The 19977-nt window shown below is 45.2% G+C and overlaps 1 protein-coding gene across 5 annotated transcripts in view, besides 2 other annotated features; it reads right to left on the bottom strand.

The window, feature by feature from the left end:
- The window catches only part of SCNN1B (sodium channel epithelial 1 subunit beta), a 103064-nt gene that overhangs the window by 31737 nt on the left and 51350 nt on the right, over nucleotides 1-19977 (bottom strand). For 4 of the 5 annotated variants that reach the window (XM_017023525.2, XM_011545913.3, NM_000336.3 and 1 more), the window contains one exon: nucleotides 648-966. In XM_017023525.2, coding sequence (XP_016879014.1) covers nucleotides 648-966 — 319 coding nt within the window. Of the gene's footprint in view, nucleotides 1-647; nucleotides 967-13388; nucleotides 13415-19977 lie in introns of those variants that run through there. The other variant, XM_011545914.2, reaches the window with a different exon arrangement.
- Nucleotides 837-1338: an enhancer, noted in NCBI's record as "H3K4me1 hESC enhancer chr16:23359541-23360042 (GRCh37/hg19 assembly coordinates)". NCBI's record gives its function as "activates a minimal SCP1, AML or CMV promoter by ChIP-STARR-seq in naive H9 embryonic stem cells {active_cell/tissue: H9 hESC(naive)}" and the evidence as "EXISTENCE:reporter gene assay evidence [ECO:0000049][PMID:30033119]".
- Nucleotides 13312-13591: an enhancer, noted in NCBI's record as "active region_10578". NCBI's record gives its function as "activates an Ori minimal core promoter by ATAC-STARR-seq in GM12878 lymphoblastoid cells {active_cell/tissue: GM12878}" and the evidence as "EXISTENCE:reporter gene assay evidence [ECO:0000049][PMID:35858748]".

Genomic DNA, 19977 nt, shown 5'->3' with positions numbered 1-19977 from the left:
TTTTTTATTTTTAAGAGATAGCATCTGTTACCCAGGCTGGAATGCAGTGGCATCTTCTTGTTTTTATTTTTAATTAATTATTTTTTCTTAGCCTTGACTTGAAACTCAAGTGGCGCCATCTCAGCCCACTGCAGCCTCGAGCTCCTGGGCTCAAGCAGTTCTCCCACCTCTGCTTCCTATGCAGCTCAGACCACAGACATGTGCCACCACGTCTGGCTAATTAAAAAAAATTATTTACTTTTTTTAGAAGTGGGATCTTGCTATGTTGCCCAGGCTGTTCTCCAACTCCTGGCCTCAAGGGATCCTTCTGTCTTTGCCTCTCAAAGTGCTGTTATTACAGGCCACTGCACCTGGCCAAAAGTTTATGAAGTTTGAATCTTAGTTGCTGCAAAAGGATGAAGGCAAATGGAAAGACAGAGAGGAGGAGAAAGAGAAAGAAGGAAGGAAAGAAAGAAAAGAAAAAAGAAAGGGAAGAAGAAGGAAGGAAAAGTAATAAAGGGAGAAAGGAAGGAAGAAAGGGGAGAAATAAAGAGAAGGAGAGAAAGGAGAAGGAAGGAAAGGAAGGAAAGGAAAGGTAGAAGGGAAGAAAAGAGAGAAAGAGAACCGCCTGTCTGCTGAGGCCAGCTGTGCACTCCGGGGCCACCTACTTGAAGGGGCTAGCATTGCAGATGGTGACGGCAGGGAAGTCCATGGTCTTGAAGCCTACGGAGAGGGAGACGCTGACCTCCCAGCTCAAGTAGGTCCTGATGAAGATGCCCCACTGCCAGCAGACGAGGGCGGCGAAGAGCAGGGTGAGCAGGAACCACATGGCTTTCTTCTTGGGCCCCTCACAGATGATGCGCTTGGGGCCGTGGGTGTTGGTGTTGTCGCAGTACCACACCAGCAGCTCCTTGTACGTGTAGCCGGGGCCCTTCTGCAGCCGATGCAGGCCCTTCAGCAGGTACTTCTTCACGTGCATAGTGGCACCTGCAGAGAGGCATGGGGACGCACATCAGCTGGGACACCAGCCTTGCCTGCGAGGATGTCCCAGTCACGTCCAGGAACTGGGCGGCGGTACGTCCCCGTTCTTCCTCCCTCTTTACCCTCCCCCCTCCCTCCCTCCCTTTTTTCCTTCTTTTCTTCCTTCCTTTGGCTATCTGTCATCAATCCATCCATCCATCTAATCAACCAAAATGCATTTATTGAATGCCTACTATATGCCAGGCACTCAAATGGTCCTTCTGGACTCAATGAGCAAAATGGACAAGGTTTTTTGCCCTTTGGGAATTCATAACCTAGTGAACAAGTGACTTAAACTCTCAACTCAGGTTCTCTGTGCATAAAATGTGGTATAGCAAGTCCTCAAACGACGTCGTTTTGTTCAATGTTTCATTGTAACATTGATGAGAAAAGAAAGTAGATTCCCAGCCAGGGCCACTGTCTATATGGAGTTTACATGTCCTCCCCATGATGTGTCTGCATGGTCCCAGGTGAGTGAGTGTGACTGTGTGTGAGTGCTCTGCAATGGAATGTGTCCTGTGTAGGGTGGGTTCCCGCCTGTGGCCTCAGCTGCAGAGATAGGCTCTGGCCACTGTGACCTTGAACTGAATAAGTGGGTAAATAATGATCTTACTTGTTTTTATTAATCTTTCTTTTTCTTTTTCTTTTTTCAGATAGGGTCTCACTCTCTTACCCAGCCTAGAGCGCAGTGGCGCAGTCATGGCTCACTGCAATCTCTACCTCCCAGGCTCAAGAGATCCTCCCACCTCAGCCTCCTAAGTAGCTGGGATTATAGGCATGCACACCACCATATCAGTGAATTTTTGTATTTTTAGTGGAGACGGGGTTTCACCGTGTTGCCCAGGCTGGTCTCAAACTCCTGAGCTCAAGTGATCCACCCACCTCAGCATCCCAAAGTGCTGGCATTACAGGCATGAACCACCGCACCTGGTCTTAATCTTTCTTAAATGTATGTATAGCTCATATTTATTTCAATGTTTAATATTAGAAGCATTTTGGTCTTTACTTAGAAATTTGGTGACTTTTTTTGTGACCAGAAATAGGCCATAGGAGCTTAACTCTTGTTGATATCAATTAGCCTATGGTGAAATTGATTTCATTAGACATCGTTTAGCCTAGAGTTGCAGTTTCCAAGAACATATCAACAATGTTAAGTGAAGACTTACTGTAACAATTACATCTAACTTACAGGATTGCTGAGAGGAGGAAATTCGGCGATGCACAAAAAGTGCTATGGACTGAGCCTAGCACAGGCCAGGTCCTCAGTATGCCAGTTTCCATTGTCACTAGCTGTCGGTGGGTAAGACAGATGTTAAGCGAAGAATCCATCAAAAAAGCAGAGCTATGAAACATGACAGGAAAGATTGGGACCCCATGCCCTGAGATGCTAGAGGCATTAAAGGCTGGTGGTTTAGAATAAGGATTCTGTAACCAAATTTTCTGGCTTTTTGTTTGTTTGTTTGAGACAGGGTCTCACTCTATCACCCAGGCTGGAGTGCAGTGGCATGATCATGGCTCACTGCAGCCTCGAACTCCTGGGAAATTTCTGGCTTTGACTCTCAGCCCTGCTGCTTCCTAGCTTGTGACTTTGAGCAAATCTCCTTCTCAGTCCTTCAGTTTCCTCATCCATAAAATGGGGATAATTACAGCTTCCACCTGATAAAGCTGTCGTGGAGGCTGGCTGCATGAAAATATGGAGAGGGTAGATTCATGCCTGGCACCTAAGTGTCAGCGATTTTTATTAGAAAACGGAGGCCTGGCCAGGTCTGAGAGTCCTTGGAGAAGTGATGGAGGAGCTGAGGTTAAAGGATAGGAGAGGGGAGGGGAAGGGGGAAGGCTGAAGTGGGGAGGGAGCCTGCAGGGGTGGGGAGGGAGCCTGCAGGGGTGGGGAGGGAGCCTGCAAGGGTGAGCAGGGCCAGGCCACGCAAGGGCTTGTGGACTGTGTTAAAGATTAGGGTTTCAATCCCAAGAGAACTGGAACCTTTGGAGGCATGAGGGTGTGATGCCATCAAAGCTGGGATTTGAAAAGGGCATTCCAGCCAGGTGCGGTGGCTCATGCCTGTAATCCCAGCACTTTGGGAGGCTGAGGCAGGAGGATCACCTGAGGTCAGGAGTTTGAGACTAGCCTGGCCAACATAGTGAAACCCTGTCTCTACTAAAAATACAAAAATTAGCTGGTGGCGGGCCCTTGTAATCCCAGCTACCTGGGAGGCTGAGGCAGGAGAACTGCTTTAGCCTGGGAGGTGGAGGTTGCAGTGAGCCGAGATTGCACTGAGCTGAGATCGCCCCACTGCACTCCAGCCTGGACGACAGAGTGAGACTCCGTCTCAAAAAAAAAAAAAAAAAAAAAAAAAAAAAGAAAAGGAAAAAAGGGTGTTCCATGGATACAAATTAGAATGGGGTGAGGTTGTGTCCGGAGCATGAGGTTGGAGAGTATGGGTCATGGATGAGGAATGCCAGAGTTTTCTGAGACTCTGTTTCCCATATGCATGAGAGGGCAGGTTCTTGTGAAGACCACCAGGTACTTGTTATGGCACATGAGGGTTTCTAAGGACATTCCTGCTTCCCCCTCCCTTCTCTCTGGACACAGAGCAGGAACCTGCGGCAGGAGCATCCCAGCTCTATTCCTGGAGCTCCAGTTGTATTTGATCTTTAAGGTCCAGACCAAAGGCCACTTCCTCCATGAAGCTCTCCTGACTTCAGGCTGGACCCTCACCCCCTCTGAGAGCCTTTCCCTTCTGGGGGCACCATGCTGGGCAGTGTGGTTCCTCTGTGCCCAGCATACTCTCCCCCTTGCACTGAGGTTTCAGGTGAAGATATCCCGCTGTCCCTTTCATCTCAGTTGGTGTGAGTTGCCAGGCTGATCTCTCCTCTTAGCTCTGGGAGATGTGCATGTGACTCAAAGTGGAACATTAGGACTCAATTCTATTCGTTTATATTGGAATAACTGAAGGAGAGACCTCACTTTTAACTAAGCCTACTAAGCTGGTGGTATTTGGCAGCCCAAACGGGAAGTCTTCCTGAGAATAAAGCCAATACAGAGGAAAGAAGAGGCACGAGATGGAGAGAAATTTCTGACTTTGCCATTTGAACACCTGGATCCAGCCATGCCTGAAGCCATTCATTCCTGGCCTCATCAGATATGGAAACAATACATTTTCTTTCTTATTTATGCATATCCAAATTGGATGCCTGCCATTTGCACCCATAAGAAGCTTAATAGTAAAATAAATTGACCCTTGTTTTATCCTGTGTTCTAGTTTCTTGTGCCTGTGGCTTCTCCCGGGAGATCGCAAGCCCCTTGAGGGCAGCAGCTCTGTATCCCTGACAAAGCCCAGCACAGTGCCTGACACCCCACAGAATATCCAGATGTATAAGGTCAGACCTTCACGTCTAAACAGAGATGTTAAACCTGCCCAAGCATATTCACTCCTGATCCAATTATCTGACACAGTAACATTTCTCACCTTCCTTCCCCAGAAGGAGTCTTGGCCAAAGCATGAAGTGCTTTCTTCTCCAACTCTGTTCTCTCTCTCTCTCTCTCTCTCTTTCTCTCTCCTCTCTCTCGACAGGCTCTCGCTCTGTTGCCCAGGCTGGGGTGCAGTGGCACGATCTTGACTCACTGCAACCTCCACCTCCCGGGCTCAGGTGATCCTCCCACCTTAGCCACTTGAGTAGCTGGGACTACAGGCGCATGCCACCATGCCCAGCTAATTTTTGTATTTTCAGTAGAGATAAGGTTTTGCCATGTTGCCCAGGCTTGTCTCGAACTCCTGGGATCAAGCGATCCACCCGCATTGGCTTCCCAAAGTGCTTGGACTACAGGTGTGAGCCACTGCACCCCACCTCCAACTCCATTCTCTGATAGGAATTAAACTCTATGTGCCTGCCCAAGCCATCATGGCTGTAAGAGGATGTTCATAGAGTAACCCCACTCCCAACTTTCCCCAGAAGGTCTATTCCCTGCTCTGAAATAATAAAGTAATAACAGTTATTATAATAGCAACTACAAGAGCAACATCAAAGTATTAAATGTTTGCCATGACTCAAGCATATGGGAAGAACCAAGGCTTCGTCTGCCTTATATAGTCTAGCACCCCAAAGCCACATAGGTGAACATCACATTAGGTTCCAATAGGTAGTTGTAGAAGATATAAAGGGCCTCTAGAATGTCTACCCTTTTCTATTCTCATGTAATTATTCTGATTTAGTCAAGGAGAAAGTCTCAGCTTGGTACCAACAGCTCCTTAACACCTCTCCAACCCTTCTAATCTCCGGGTTTAACAATGAGGCCTCAGGCTCAGGCAACAGTATCTAGTTAGAATGGGTAACATTCTGTTTTCACTGGGCTTACTTTTAAGAGCCACCTTCTACTTATGGCAAGAGATACTGACTTTTGCTTTATGTTCATAAACGTGCTTAAGTAAAAAAAGGGGAATTGATTTAAAGAAAAATGTTTAAGTAAACAACAGTACTACAGGTAGCAAAAGTTGTTACAATGGTAGGCAAATAACAGAAGTGTGTTGAGTATTGGCTGAGCATCTAACTAGTCTGGCCCCTTGGGTCATTAGCCAGATCAAACTCAGTAAGTGCTGCAAACAACTTTATGATGTTCTGGTCAGATTTCACCCCCACGGTGATAGATGGTCTGTGTTTGGAATGTATACACAGTTTATGGAGAAGGGATTGAATCAGTGTACAGCTTAACCCAATCCAAACAAGTAAAGTAGAGACTAAGTCCATGTGTGCACACAGAAAGAGACACCAATTGTCATGCTTCAGAGTCACAGATTGCTGACTATACATTGGCCCTGAACTCATGGTAAATGTTCCTGTTAGCAAATGCAAAAACAATAAATGTGGAAAAGTGTTTCGGCTTTTTTTTTTCTTCCTTCCTTCCTTTCTTTTTTTCTTTCTTTCTTTCTTTCTTTCTTTCTTTCTTTCTTTCTTTCTTTCTTTCTTTCTTTCTTTCTTTCTCTTTTTCTTTCTTTCTTTTTTCCTTCCTTCCTTCCCTCCCTCCCTCCCTCTTTCTTCCTTCCTTCCTTCCTTTTCCTTCCTTCCTTCCTTCCTTCCTTCCTTCCTTTCTTTCTTTTCCTTTTTTTATTTTTGGCAAACTTTTGCTCTTGTTGCCCAGGCTGGAGTGCGATCGCGTGACCTCAGCTCACTGCAACCTCCACCTCCCAGGTTCAAGCAATTCTCTTGCCTCAGCCTCCAGAGTAGCTAGGATTACAGGCATGCACCACCACGCCCGGCTAATTTTGTATTATTAATAGTGACGGGGTTTATCCATGTTGGTCAGGCTGGTCTCGATCTCCTGACCTGGTGATCTGCCCTCCTTGGCCTCCCAAAGCGCTGGGATTACAGGCATGAGCCACCATGCCCAGCCCTGTTTCAGTTCTCTTACGAGACAGGTTTTCTTCTATGCTTTCTTCTGAGTGTTTTATAGTTTTATTAGGTCTATGAACCATTTGAAGTTAGTTTTTGCATATAGTGTGGGGTAGGAGCTAAGATTCCCTTTAAAAAATATGGACAACTATTTGTTTTAGCATTTTTTGTTGTGTGTTCCATTTAAAGTGTAGAATTCACTGGATTTCAGTATATTCACATTGTTCAACTATCATCACAATCAATTTTAAAACATCTTTATTTCCCCTAAAGAAAACTCCATGCCCATTAGAAGTTATTTCTCATTCCTCTCTCCACCCTCCTCCTCCCCATCAGAAACCACTTATCTATTCTCTGTCTCTCTAGATTTGCCTGTTTTGGATGTTTCATATAAATCAAGCTTTTCCATCCTGCGGCCTGCAGGCCACAGGCAGCCCAGGATGGCTTTGAATGTGGCCCAACACAAATTCATAAACTTTCTTAAAACACTAGGAGATTTTTTTTTTTCTTAGCTCATCAGCTATTGTTAGTGTTAGTCCATTTTATAAGTGGCCCAAGATAATTCTTCTTCCAATGTGGTCCAGGGAAGCCAAAAGATTGGACACCCCTAATAGAAACAGAATTGCAGGCTGGGCACAGTGGCTCATGCCTATAATTCCAGCAATTTGGGAGGGTGAGGTGGGTGGATCACTTGAGGTCAAGAGTTCAAGGCCAGCCTAGCCAATATGGTACAGCCCTGTCTCTAGTAAAAATACAAAATTAGCCGGGTGTGGTGGCACGTGCCTGTAATCCCTGCTACTCAGGAGACTGAGGCAGGAGACTTGCTTGAGCCTGGGAGGCAGAGTTTGCAGTGAGCAGAGATTGTGCCACGGCACTCCAGCCTGGGTGTCAAGAGTGAAACTCTGTCTCAACAAACAAAAAACGGAATTGCACAATGTGTGGTCTTTTCTGACTGGCTTCTTTCACTTAGTGTGTTTTAAAGGTACGTTGCAGCATGTATTAGTGCTTCATTTCTTTCTATTGCTAAATAATATCCCATATTATGTTGAGACTACATTTTATTTATCCATTCATCAGTTGATGGACAGTTGGGTTGTTTTTACTTTTTGGCTGTTATGATAATACTGCTATGAATGATCTTGTATAAGTTTTGTGTAGAAATAGGTTTCATTTCTCTTGGTTATATATCCAGGAGTGGTCTCGAACTCCTGATCTGAGTCTGATGGTAATTCTATGTTTAACCTTTTGAGGAACTGCAAGACTGTTTTCCAAAATGGCTGCACTACTTAACAATTTCACCCGGTGTGTGAGAGTTCTAATCTCTCCACATCCTCTCCAAAACTTATTATCCATTTTAAAAAGTTATTACAGCTACCTTAATGGGGTGTGAAGTGATATCTTACGTTGGTTTCAATTTGCGTTTTCCTGATAGCTATGATGTTGAACTTCTTCTCATAGGCTTATATATTGGCCATTAGATCCATTATATGGCCAGTATATCTTCTTTGGAGAAATGTCTATTCAGATCCTTCATCATTTTTTAACTGGGCTATTTATCTTTTTATTACTGAGTTGCAAGAGTTATTTATATATTCTATACACAAGTCCCTTAACAGACAGGACTTGCAAACATTGTCTTTCCTTCTCTGTGGGTTGTCTTTTTACTTTCTTGATGGTGTCCTTTGAAGAACAAAAGTTTTTAAGTTTGATGATGCCAAATTTCTCTATATTTCTTTTTTGCGTGTGTGCTTTGGTTTCATATCTAAGACTCTATTGCCTAATCCAAGGTCCTGAAGATCTGTTTCTATGCTTTACTCTAAGGACTTTATAGTTCCAGCTCTTATATTTAAGTCTTTGATTCATTTTGAATTAATTTACATATATAGTGTGAGATAGGAATCCAACTTCATTGTTTTTCATGTACCTATCCACTTGTCCCAGCACCCAGACTATTCTTTCTCCCATTTAATTGTCTTGGCACCTTGTCTGATGTTTTAGCATTTAAATGAAAAGAAAGCTTAAATAAATGGAGATCTATACCATGCTCATAGATTAGAAGACTCAATATTGTTAAGATGTCAATTAACCTCTAGAGTCAACTCACACGTAATCTCTAGAGTCTACTCAATTTCAACCAAAATCCTAGCAGAATTTTTGTAGAAATTGACAAACTGATTCTAAAATATGTATGGAAAAGCAAAAGAACTAAAACAGCAAAAACAAAACAAAATCAGACACACATGCATGTGTACACATGCACACACACACACACACACTTCAAAGCAACATTTTAAAAAACTTATGAAAAATAAAAACAAGTTGAAAGACATTTCTATGTGATATCAACACTTACTGTAAGTTGCATTTATCAGGACAGTGTGGTATTGATGTAATGATAGATCTACCGATCATTGGATTAAGGAGCTCTGATAGACCTACAAATTTGCCAAGGTAGTTCAATGAAGAGAGTGTAGTCTTGGCCAGGCATGGTGGCTCACACCTGTAATTCCAGTTCCTTGGGCCAATAAAGTACTGGGATCACTTGAGCCCAGGAGTTTGAGACCAGCCTGGGCAACACAGTGACAACCTGTCTCTATTTAAAAGAAAGATTAAAACGTAAAAAAATAAAAAAGTGTAATTTTTTTCAACAACAAATGCTGAAACAAGTAGTTGTCCATATTTTTTTAAAAGGGAATCTTAACTCCTACCCCACACTATATGCAAAAACTAACTTCAAATGGTTCATAGACCTAATAAAACTATAAAACACCCAGAAGAAAGCATAGAAGAAAATCTGTGTAACCTTAGGATATGCAAAGATCTTCAGATAGGACACTAAAATCATGAATCATAAGAAACTTATAAATTGTACCTTATTAGAATTAAAATCTTCTGCTTTTCAAAAGACATGGTTGAGAAAATGAGAGAGCAAGCTCCTGGGAGAAAATACTTGGAATACATATGTCTGACAAAGAATTTCTATGCGGAATATATAAAGAACTCTTACAACTAAATAATAAGACAAACAGTTCAACAAAAAATGGGCCAATGATTTGAATAGACACCATAAAAGAGGAAATATGAATGGCCCATAAGCATGCAAAAAAATGCTCACCATCATTAGTCACTGGAGAAATGCAGATCAAAACCACCCACAATGAGCTATCACTTCACACCCATTAGAAGGACTGATAGTATCTAGTATTGGTGAGGATGTGTAGCAACCGGAATTCTCCTACACAGCTGGTTGGAATGCAAAATGGTACAGTCACTTTGGAAGGTAGTTTGATATAGTTTCTTGTAAAGTTGCCAGGCGCGGTGGCTCACACCTGTAATCCCAATACTTTGGGAGGTCAAGGTGGGTGGATCACTTGAGGTCAGGAGTTTGAGACTCCGTGGCCAACATGGTGAAACCCTGTCTCTACTAAAAATACAAAAAAATTAGCTGGGAGTGGTGCCACACGCCTGTAATCCCAGCTACTTGGGAGGCTGAGACAGGAGAATCGCTTGAGCCCAGGAGGTAGAGGTTGCAGTGAGTCGAGATCGTGCCATTGCACTCCAGCCTGGGTGACAGAGTGAGACTCCATCTCAAAATAATAATAATAATAATAAAAATAAGTTAAGGATGCCAGGTGCAGTGGTTCACGCCTGTAATCCCAGCACTTTGGGAGGCCAAGCCAGGAGGATTGCTTGAGCCCAGGAGTTTGAGGCCAGCCTTGGTAACATAGTAAGACCCTGTCTCTATATTTAAAAAAAAAAAGTTAAATGAACAGTTATCATATGACCCAGCAATTCCACTTTTACTTATCCAGGAGAAAAACATACTTTCACACACAGACTTGTACATATATGTTCACTTATTCATAATAGCCCCCACCTAGAAGCAATCCACACGTCCACCAACAGGGGAAGAAATAAATAAATTACGGCATATCCATAATAGGATTCCATTCAACAATAAAAAGGAACCAACTATTGATACATAAAACATGGACGTATATAAAAAATATTAAGCCGAGTAAAAAGCTAAACACGTAAGAATACATACTATAGAATTCCATTATATGAACCCCTAGAAAATATGAATTAATCTATTGTGACAGAAAGCAGATCAGTAAGTATCTGGGCCTTGGGTGAGTAGTGGATTGACTAAAAGTTGTACAGGGAGCCTTTTGGAGACGATGAGAATATTCTAGATCTTGAATGGGATGGTGGTTCATTAAATGCATACACTTGTGAAAACTCATCAAACAATATGCTTCAAATGGATGCATTCTATTATATGTAAATTATGTCTCAATAAAGTTCTAACAAAAGACTTTAATCCATTGCCATTTCAAAATGATGAGATTTCACATTTTTTTAAAACGTGGATTTTCTTCATCCTTTGAAAAGTCAGAAAGATGTGACGGTTGTCCCCGCATGACCATGTTCTGCTAGATTTGACTAGCAGCTGCTCTCCTTGGATGGGTAGTGTGTTCCCAGCTCACCCCAATTCTTCCCATTCCATGCTGTCTTATACCCAGCCCTCTTTACTCATTTTCATTAGCTGCTCTGGCTCATGTGGACATCTGACTTTGTGACTCCTGTAAATTGCAGGTCAGATGCTTTCATTAAAATCCCCTGTACTTATTTTCGCAGCAAAACCTCAATTATCCAAGATTACTGGGGAATATGGTTTCTGGTAGCTGGATTTTTAAAGTTAATTGAAGGTTAACCTGAAAGTGGATTTGACTCTGGTTATTGAAAAATCTTGCATGTTTCTGCCTCTGCAAGGGCAACCAGAGGACATGACTGACTCTTTATTCTCAAGCACCTGGCCAGGTGTAACAGCCACAGCTGAGGTTTAGTGTCCAGGCCAGAAAAAGTGAAGAAGAGTTTTAGGGAAGCTGTCAGGATCTCTAGAGAAGCCAGGGCATACCTTGGACACAATTTCTATTTATAAATTCAAATATTATGTGCATTCCCAGCACCAAGATTTTGGTCTCTAAATACCATTTTTGACTAAAAGAACCAGGGCTTCTTAGAAAAATGGTTGCTACCAGCTTTGGTGCAGGAAATGTATTAAATGAGCCTTTCTTTTTTGTTGTTGTGGTTTTTTTGACACGGAGTCTCACTCTGTCATACAGGTTGAAGTGCAGTGGCACAATCTCAGCTCACTGCAGCCTCAACCTTCTGGACTCCAGCGATCCTCCCACCTCAGTGTCCTAAGTAGCTGGGACTACAGGTGCGTGCCACCCGGCTAATTTTTGTTATTATTATTTTTTTTTGGTAGAAATGGGGTTTTGCCATGTTGCCCAGCTGGTCTTGAACTCCTGGGTTCAAGTGATCCTCCTGCTTTGGCTTCCCAAAGTGCTGGGATTACAGGTATGAGCCACTGTGCCTGGCCTATATGTTTTAAATGTTTAAATATTAACCATCTGGTACTTTAAAGAAGTTTGCTGATCTCTGATTTACTATGTCATATATATTTGCACTAAATAAGAAGAAACCTGGGGCCAAGCACGGTGGCTCAAGCCTGTAATCACAGCACTTTGGGAGGCCGAGGTGAGTGGATCACCTGAGGTCAGGAATTCGAGACCAGCCTGGTCAACATGGTGAAACCCTGTCTCTACTAAAAATACAAAAATTAGCCGGGCATGGTGACAGGTGCCTATAATTCCAGCTACTTGGGAGGCTGAGGCAGGAGAATTGCTTGAACCTGGTAGGGAGGTGGAGGTTGCAGTGAGCCGAGATCATACCACTGCACTCCAGCCTGGACGACAAGAGTGAAACTCCATCTCAAAAAAAAAAAAAAAAGAAAGAAAGAGAAAGAAACCTGGCCACTCCTGGTAGCTCATGCCTGTAATCCCAGTGCTTTGGGAGACTGAAGCAGGAGGATCACTGGAGTCCAGGAGTTTGAAACCAGCCCAGGTAACATATTGAAAGCCTCACCTCTACAAAAAACTTACAAAATTAGCCAAATGTGGTGGCATGTGCCTGTGGTCTCAGCTACCGGGGAGGCTGAGGTGGGAGGATTGCTTGAGCCCAGGAGTTGGAGGTTGCAATTAGCTATGATTGTATCATTGCAAGCCTAGCCTGGGTGACACAGCAAGACACTGTCTAAAAAATTAATAAATAAATAGTAAAAAGAAATATTTCAAATGAGTATTTCATATAAATATTTATAAGCTTGATTTTGTTATTTCCCTCTAACTACCTGCTAATTCAATGCTTTCCTTAGCATTGATCATTTGTATACCACTTTTGCAATTTTTGCTAAATCTGTGTAGCACTTGTATCATTATTTACTTACTAGATAATGCCACATCATCTCATTTTTTTATTTTTGGCTAAAATAAACTCAACTTCCTCCTAGGCACTACTATGAATACAAAGCAATATTACACCTGTGAAATAACAGGTTTGATGTGCTGAGCCATTTTTTCCTAATACACATGAACATACTTTCTTAACTATTCAGAAAAAGGTTCCTCTGAGAATCATTGAAAAAAAAATCATCTTGGCCAGGCTTGGTGGCTCAAGTCTGTAATCCCAGCACTTTGGGAGGCCGAGGTGGGCAGATCATGAGGTCAAGAAATCGAGACCATCCTGGCCAACATGGTGAAACCCCGTCTCTACTAAAAATACACAAATTAGCTGGGCATGGTGGCACGCATCTGTGGTCTCAGCTACTCAGGAGGCTGAGGCAGGAGAATTGCTTGAACCCGGGAGGGGAAGGCTGCAGTGAGCCGAGATCGTGCCCCTGCACTCCAGCCTGGCGACAGAGCGAGACTCCGTCTCAAAAAAAAAAAAAAAAAAATCGTCTTGCTTACCACCCTTTGGGAAATGCCCTGTTAATTGTCTTTCACGGGCTGAAGCATGTACTGGTCCAAGGACATATGCTCTCTTCCAAGGCATTTCCTGGTGTGGCTTCATGCCGTCCTTTTAAGTATGTTGGGGTGGGCATAATTATGCCCATTACACAGCGAATTTAGAGCACAGAGGGACTCAGAGGGACTTACCCACAGTCATGGTGAGTCAAAGGGCAGGTCTGAAAATAGAAACCAGATTGCCTGGCTTCCGGCCACCTCTCACCTACTAGCTCAGACGGGGCACCTGACATCTTGCACCTGTTCTGGTGGGTGTTGGGGAAATCTGAAGTGGGGCCATGCAGCTGCCCGCATCCTCTGTGTGCACCTATGAACCTCTTTTGCCCAAGGCTGTGGTTCCCTGACATCTAGGGGTGCTCCCAGAAAGCCAAACACAGCATGACTAATGGAGACGATAGGGAAAGTGGCTTCCTCCACAGCCCTCTAAGATACAGGTCTTATTTGAGCTGATCAGAGACAGTGAATGTTGTCAATATATACAGTTAAGTGAGAGCAAAGAAAGGGTAGAACAGCATATGAAGCACACATGCATTTATGTTAAAAAAAAAAAATAGAGGCCGGGCACAGTGGCTCACACCTATAATCCCAGCACTTTGGGAGGCTGAGGCAGGTGGATTACCTGAGGTCAGGAGTTCAAGACTAGTCTGGCCAAAATGGCAAAACCCTGTCTCTACTAAAAATACAAATATTAGCTGGGCATGGTGGCACACACCTGTAATCCCAGCTATTGGGAGGCTGAGGCAGGAGAATCGCTTGAACCTGGGATGCGGAGGTTGCAGTGAGCCAAGCCTGCCCTCCGGCCTGGGCGACAGAGAGAAACTCCATCTAAAAAAAAAAAAAAAGAAAATACAGGCTGGCACGGTGGCTCACTCCTATAATCCCAGCACTTTGGGAGGCTGAGGCAGGAGGATCTTTGAGCCCACAAGTATGAGGCCAGCTTAGGCAACATAGAGGTATTTCCTTGTATCTGTGCAGTCCTTCTACCAGGTCACACAAGAAAGTGGTAATATGAGTTGCCCTCAAGAAAGGAACTGAGTGGCTGGGGGAACAGGCAGAAAAGGAGACATAAAAAAATTATTTACTCCTTTTGCACCTTTTGAATTTTGCAGCATATCAATGTTTAATCTATTCAGTCAGCAAATATTGATTAATCATCCATTGTGTACTCTGCACTGTTCTAGGTGCTGGACATTCATCAGTGAACAAAACAGTCAGGCAATGAATCTCTGCCTTCGTGTAGCTTACATGTCCACAGGAAAGAGAAAAAAAATATTGAAAAGAGCAATTAAAATTTAAAATGTGGACTGATTAGAGTTAGAGCCAAAAAATTTGTATAGCAGTGATTAGATTTGCAAAGATTAAACTGTTCCATAATACTAAGTATGGGCCGAGCTCTGGGGAAAAAAACACGTTTATGTGCTGATGGGGTTGAAATTGGTGCAGTCATTTGGACAGCAATCTGGCAGTCCCTACTACATTTAAAATGTGACAGCCCATGACCCCACAGTTCCACTTCATGTAGTAAGTGTGCTTTGGTGCATTGGTGCATGCACACACGTGTGCACAGTTTAAGGATGTTGATTGCAACACTGTAATATTCTCAAATGGGAAACAGCTTGACCACTTAGAATGAGAAGGTTGCAGAGGGGTGAATGGGGTGCAAACAGCTTTACCACAAGAGCTGAGGAAGCAAAGCAAGGAAGAACAGCTGCTGCAGGTTAAGGCAGGACTAGGGCAGTCCAGACGGGTGTGCCTCAGGGTTTCAGGTGAGCTGAAGTGTTGATGTTCTAGACCTGTGGGCGGCTGGAGCACCCCTGTCCCCCACTGCCTGCCCTCCACTGCCATTGGTCACATGCCACCTTGTCTCTTTACTGTAGTGTGAATCCTGTGCATACAGTATGCATGTATATAGTCCATGACTCGAAAAAGGCTGGAAAGCACTGGTTTAGAAACACTTTATCACTCATTCGAGCCCTGAAATGCTAAGAATTTACAGCAATGTCATGCTGATGTCAACTCTGAGTTCTCCGGGGTGGGTCATGGGAGGTTCACTGTAAGGCAGTGTTGAGGCGGTAGCCACACTCCCACACCACGTGGAGATGTTCTCTGGGGTCGCTGCCCCACGTGTTGGGTGGTGTCTGGGGAATGTGGCTGTCCACCCTGTTGGGGGCATGTTGGTGGCTGTCCCACGGTTTCATTCCATGGTGTGGCAATGGCAGAGTCACCCTCTCATTCTATGGGGCAGGGAGCAACCTTACATGGTGATGAGTAATTCCCATCCACATCGCAGGCAAGCACAGCACATCTGGGCGTTAAGGACCTGGATGTGACTAACATTCCCATTCAAGGGCAGACAGGGTAGGGTTTGGGAGTTAGGCCCCAGTTAGGGTCTGGTTCTGCCATCTCCTTAAGGAAGGGGCTCAATCCATGACGTAAATAGGTTGGTCTCTCTGAGTCTTTATTTTTAAATTTTAACTTAATTTAATTTTTAAATTAGAGATGGGGTCTTGCTGTATTGCCCAGGCTGGTCTCAAACTCCTGGGCTCAAGCAATCCCCCCACCTTGGCCTCCCAAAGTGCTGGGATTACAAGTGCGAGCCATTGCATCCAGCCATGAGCCTTAATTTTATCATCTGCAAATGGGAATAATAGTACCTGTGCCTTCTAGGTTGTTGTCAGGATTCAATAAGATAAGGCATGGGAAGCAGTTTGCACAGTGCCCGTCGCAAAGTAAGTGTTCATAAATGGCAGCTATTGTTATTTTTAAAAATTATTATTCTTGGTATTAACATTTTATGGAAGGTGTAGAATTATTCAAAATGGCCCTGGGTGTTTACCATGGGTGGTTGGAACTGTCATTCACAGAGAAATGGCCAAGCAGAGAAGAGGTCTCTAGACTCTGCTTCTCGTGGGACTGAGTCACTCCCTGGCAGGGAAATCCCATACTCCCCAAGGTCTCTAGTTGTCCCGAATTCCTCAATGGCTGGCAGCTGGTTTTCCCAGACAACAACTGCAAACAGCTGCACCTAAACCTAGCCTGCCTGGCCCTGGTGGCCATCTATGCTTCAGCAATAAGGCCTTTTTTCTTTCTTCCTTCCTTCCTTCCTTCCTTCCTTCCTTCCTTCCTTCCTTCCTTCCTTCCTTCCTTCCTTCTTTCCTTCCTTCCTCCCTCCCTCCCTCCCTCCCTCCCTCCCTTCCTTCCTTCCTCCCTTTCTTCTTCTTCTTTTTTATTTTTTTGGAGTCTCACTCTGTCGCCCAGGCTGGAGTGCAATGGGGCGATTTTGGCTCACTGCAACCTCTGCCCCCCAGGTTCAAGCGATTCTCCTGCCTCAACCTCCCGAGTAAGCTGGGATTACAGGCGCCTGCCGCCGCGTCCAGCTAAGTTTTTGTATTTTTAGTAGAGGTGGGGTTTCACCATCTTGACCAGACTGGTCTTGAACTCCTGACCTCGTAATCCACTGCCTCGGCCTCCCAAAGTGCTGGGATTACGGGCATGAGCCACTGTGCCTGGCCAACAAGGCCACTTTTCTACACTTGGCTCCTTTGAAGGAAGACCCGTGAGGCTGGGGTCACTCCACTAGGATGGAATCCTCACCATGTCAGCAGGTGCCCTGGCCCTGGCAATGCCTATATGTGGGATTACAGGGAGCCTAGGGGATAAAAAACATCTCTGACCAGGCATGGTGGCTCATGCCTGTAATTCCAGCACCTTGGGAAGCCAAAGCAGGAGGATCACTTGAGCTTAGGAGTACGAGATCAGCCTGGCGACATAGTGAGATCCCGTCTCTACAAAAAATAAAAAACGAGGCCGGGTGCTGTGCTTTACTCCTGTAATCCCAGCACTTTGGGAGGCCGAGGTGGGTGGATTACCTGAGGTCAGGAGTTCAAGACCAGCCTGATCAACATGGTGAAACCTCGTCTCTACTAAATATACAAAAAATTAGCTGGGCATGGTGGTGGGCGCCTGTAATCCCAGCTACTCGGGAGGCTGAGGCAGGAGAATCGCTTGAACTCGGGAGGCAGAGGTTTCAGTGAGTCGAGATCACACCACTGCACTCCAGCCTGGGCAACAGAGCGAGACTCCATCTCAAAAAAGAAAAAAAAAAAAGAGCTGGGCATGATGGCATGTGCCTGTGGTCCCAGCTGCTTGGGAGGCTGAAGTGGGAGAATCATTTGAGCCCAGGAGGTTGAGGCTGCAGTGAGTTGTGATTGCACCACTGCAATCTAGCCTGGGCAATAGAGCAGGACCCTGTCTCTAAAAACAACCCAAAAAACAAAAAGACAAGAGATCCCATTCCTCAGAGCTCAGCACACCTTATCACAAACAAACAAACAAACAAACAAGCAAAAACCCACCCCCACACAAAACAGCCCTGTGGGTTTCCTTATAATGCCCTGTCCTTAGCTCACACTTCATGGTGGTGTAAGTTCCTCCCACCCCTTTATATGGCCAGTGTTGATCCTACAAAGAGGCCCCTGTTGAGACAGAACTCAGACCTGGAATAGATGCTCCCCCTCCTGTGCTAATTCTGAGCTGTGCTGGTGCTGTGATCTGAATGAATGTGTCCCCCCACCAAATTCATATTTTAAAATGAATTCATATGTTGAAATGAGGCTGGCCTTTGGGAGGTGTTGAATCATGTATCATGAGTGGGATTAGTGTACTTATAAAAGTGACCAGGAGGCCGGGCGTGGTGGCTCAAGCTTGTAATCCCAGCACTCTGGGAGCCCAAGGCAGGTGGATCACCTGAGGTCAAGAGTTCGAGACCAGCCTGGCCAACATGGCGGATCTACTAAAAAAAATACAAAAATTAGCTGGACCTGGTGGTGGGTACTTGTAATAGCAGCTATTTGGGAGGCTGACGCAGGAGAATCACTTGAACCCAGGAGGCAGAGGTTGTAGTGAGTAGAGATTGCACCACTGCACTCCAGCCTGGATGACAAAGTGAGACTCTGTCTCAAAAAAAAAAAAAAAAAGTGACTAGGAAAAGCTCCCTGGCCCCTTGAACTTTGTCATCTGGGCTGTTGGGAAAAGAAGGGAGTACTTAAGGCCAAACTTGCAAGTGCTACACACCACCCAGGAGCGCTGAGAAAGAAGGGAGTGATTCTGACAGGAGCCAGTGGGGAGGGTGAGCAAGTTGTGTGGGGCAGAGACCTGCCACCCTCTTCAACACAGCCCTGCCCTCCTGTGGGCTCAATGCAGCTCGGCTGTGCCCATCTAGCTGGTCCTGAGATGGAAGATGAATCATGGCAAGTATCAGATAAGAGCTCAGATGAAAGCTGCTGGCTGGTGATAAAGAACGCTGGCCACACCTTTCAGGGAGCATGTGCCAGGGTCCTTGGAAAACCTTGTCTGGTCTCCAGATGTGAAGCCATAACCCGGGTTATCTCCATCTCCTGCAGCTAGCTCCAGGGAAGCCTCGACTGCCCTTAAGAGATCTCGGCCGGGCATGGTGGCTCATGCCTGCCACTTGGGAGGCTGCAGCAGGAGGATCGCTTGAGGCCAGGAGTTCAAGAACCTGGGCAACATAGCAAGACCCCATTTCTAGAAAAAATTTACAAATTAGCCAGGTGTGGTGGCACATGACTCTAGTCCCAACTGTTCAGGAGGCTGAGGAGGGAGGATCACTTAAGCCCAGGGGTTGGAGGCTGCAGTGAACTATGATCGCGCCACTGCACTCCAGCCCGGGCACCAGAGCAGGACCCTGGTCTAAAACCACCCAAAAAACAAAAAGACAAGAGATCTCATTCCTCAGAGCTCAGTACAGCACACATCCCTGCCCCTCAGGCACTGCACAGAGAACAGGCTGCAGGATCCGAAAGCAAGGCGCTGGGGGAAATGCCCCTCAGAATCCTGTCTGGCCTCTTTCCTGTTCCTTCCAAGGCCCTCATCTCTCTCAGCCTGCTTTTGTCAATCCCAACCTCACACGTGGGCCAATGCTCCAAGCAAAACCGCTATAGCCTCAGAACAGCTGCTTGTGCCTGCTTTTCTTCCTAACCATCAAGGGACCAAGGGGATTGTTCACGTTGGGCCCATCCAGGTTGGAGGATGCCGGACAAGAGCTGGAAGTCCAGCCCATGCTCCACCTGCCGAGTCGGGGTCCCTGGGCACTACAGCCACACAAAGAAGTGACTTTTCCTAAGGCCCTCAAAGGCGACACATGGGTAGCTGCAAAACATGGGCTTCTGCCTGGAGCCACAGTCAACAATGTTTTGCTGAGCTGGGCCATATTTTCTTTTCTTTCTTTCGCTCTCTTTTTTTCTTTTTTTTTTTTTGAGACAGGGTCTCACTCTGTGACACAGGCTGGAGTGCAGTGGTGCAATCGCAATTCACCGCAGCCTCCAACTGCCTGGGCTCAAGTGATTCTCCCGCCTCAGTCTCCCATGTAGCTGAGACCACAGGCACATGCCACCACACCCAACTAATTTTTAAAATATTTTGTAGAGACAGAGTCTCACCATGTTGCCCAGGCTGGCATATTTTCAAAAGAAGAAAGCCTTCTATCGCCTGGTTAGAATGTGAGTGTGCATGACCCCCAGTATGGAAAAAAAGATGCAATAAAGATACAGTTTGAAGGAAGGGCTTTACCATGATTCCCCTTACTGGGGAGTTGGTCAGGGCTTGGTTGCTGGAGCCAAGCTTTGGGTGTGAATGCTCAGCTGTGCCATGTAACCCTGCACAAGCTACATGGTATCTCTGTGTCTCTGTCTCCTCAACTGCA

The sequence above is a fragment of the Homo sapiens genome, chromosome 16, assembly GCF_000001405.40.
Source record: "Homo sapiens chromosome 16, GRCh38.p14 Primary Assembly".
NCBI classification, from domain to species: domain Eukaryota; kingdom Metazoa; phylum Chordata; class Mammalia; order Primates; family Hominidae; genus Homo; species Homo sapiens.
The sequence above is the reverse complement of the archived record's forward strand: the minus strand, read 5'-3'. Positions and strand labels throughout refer to the sequence as shown.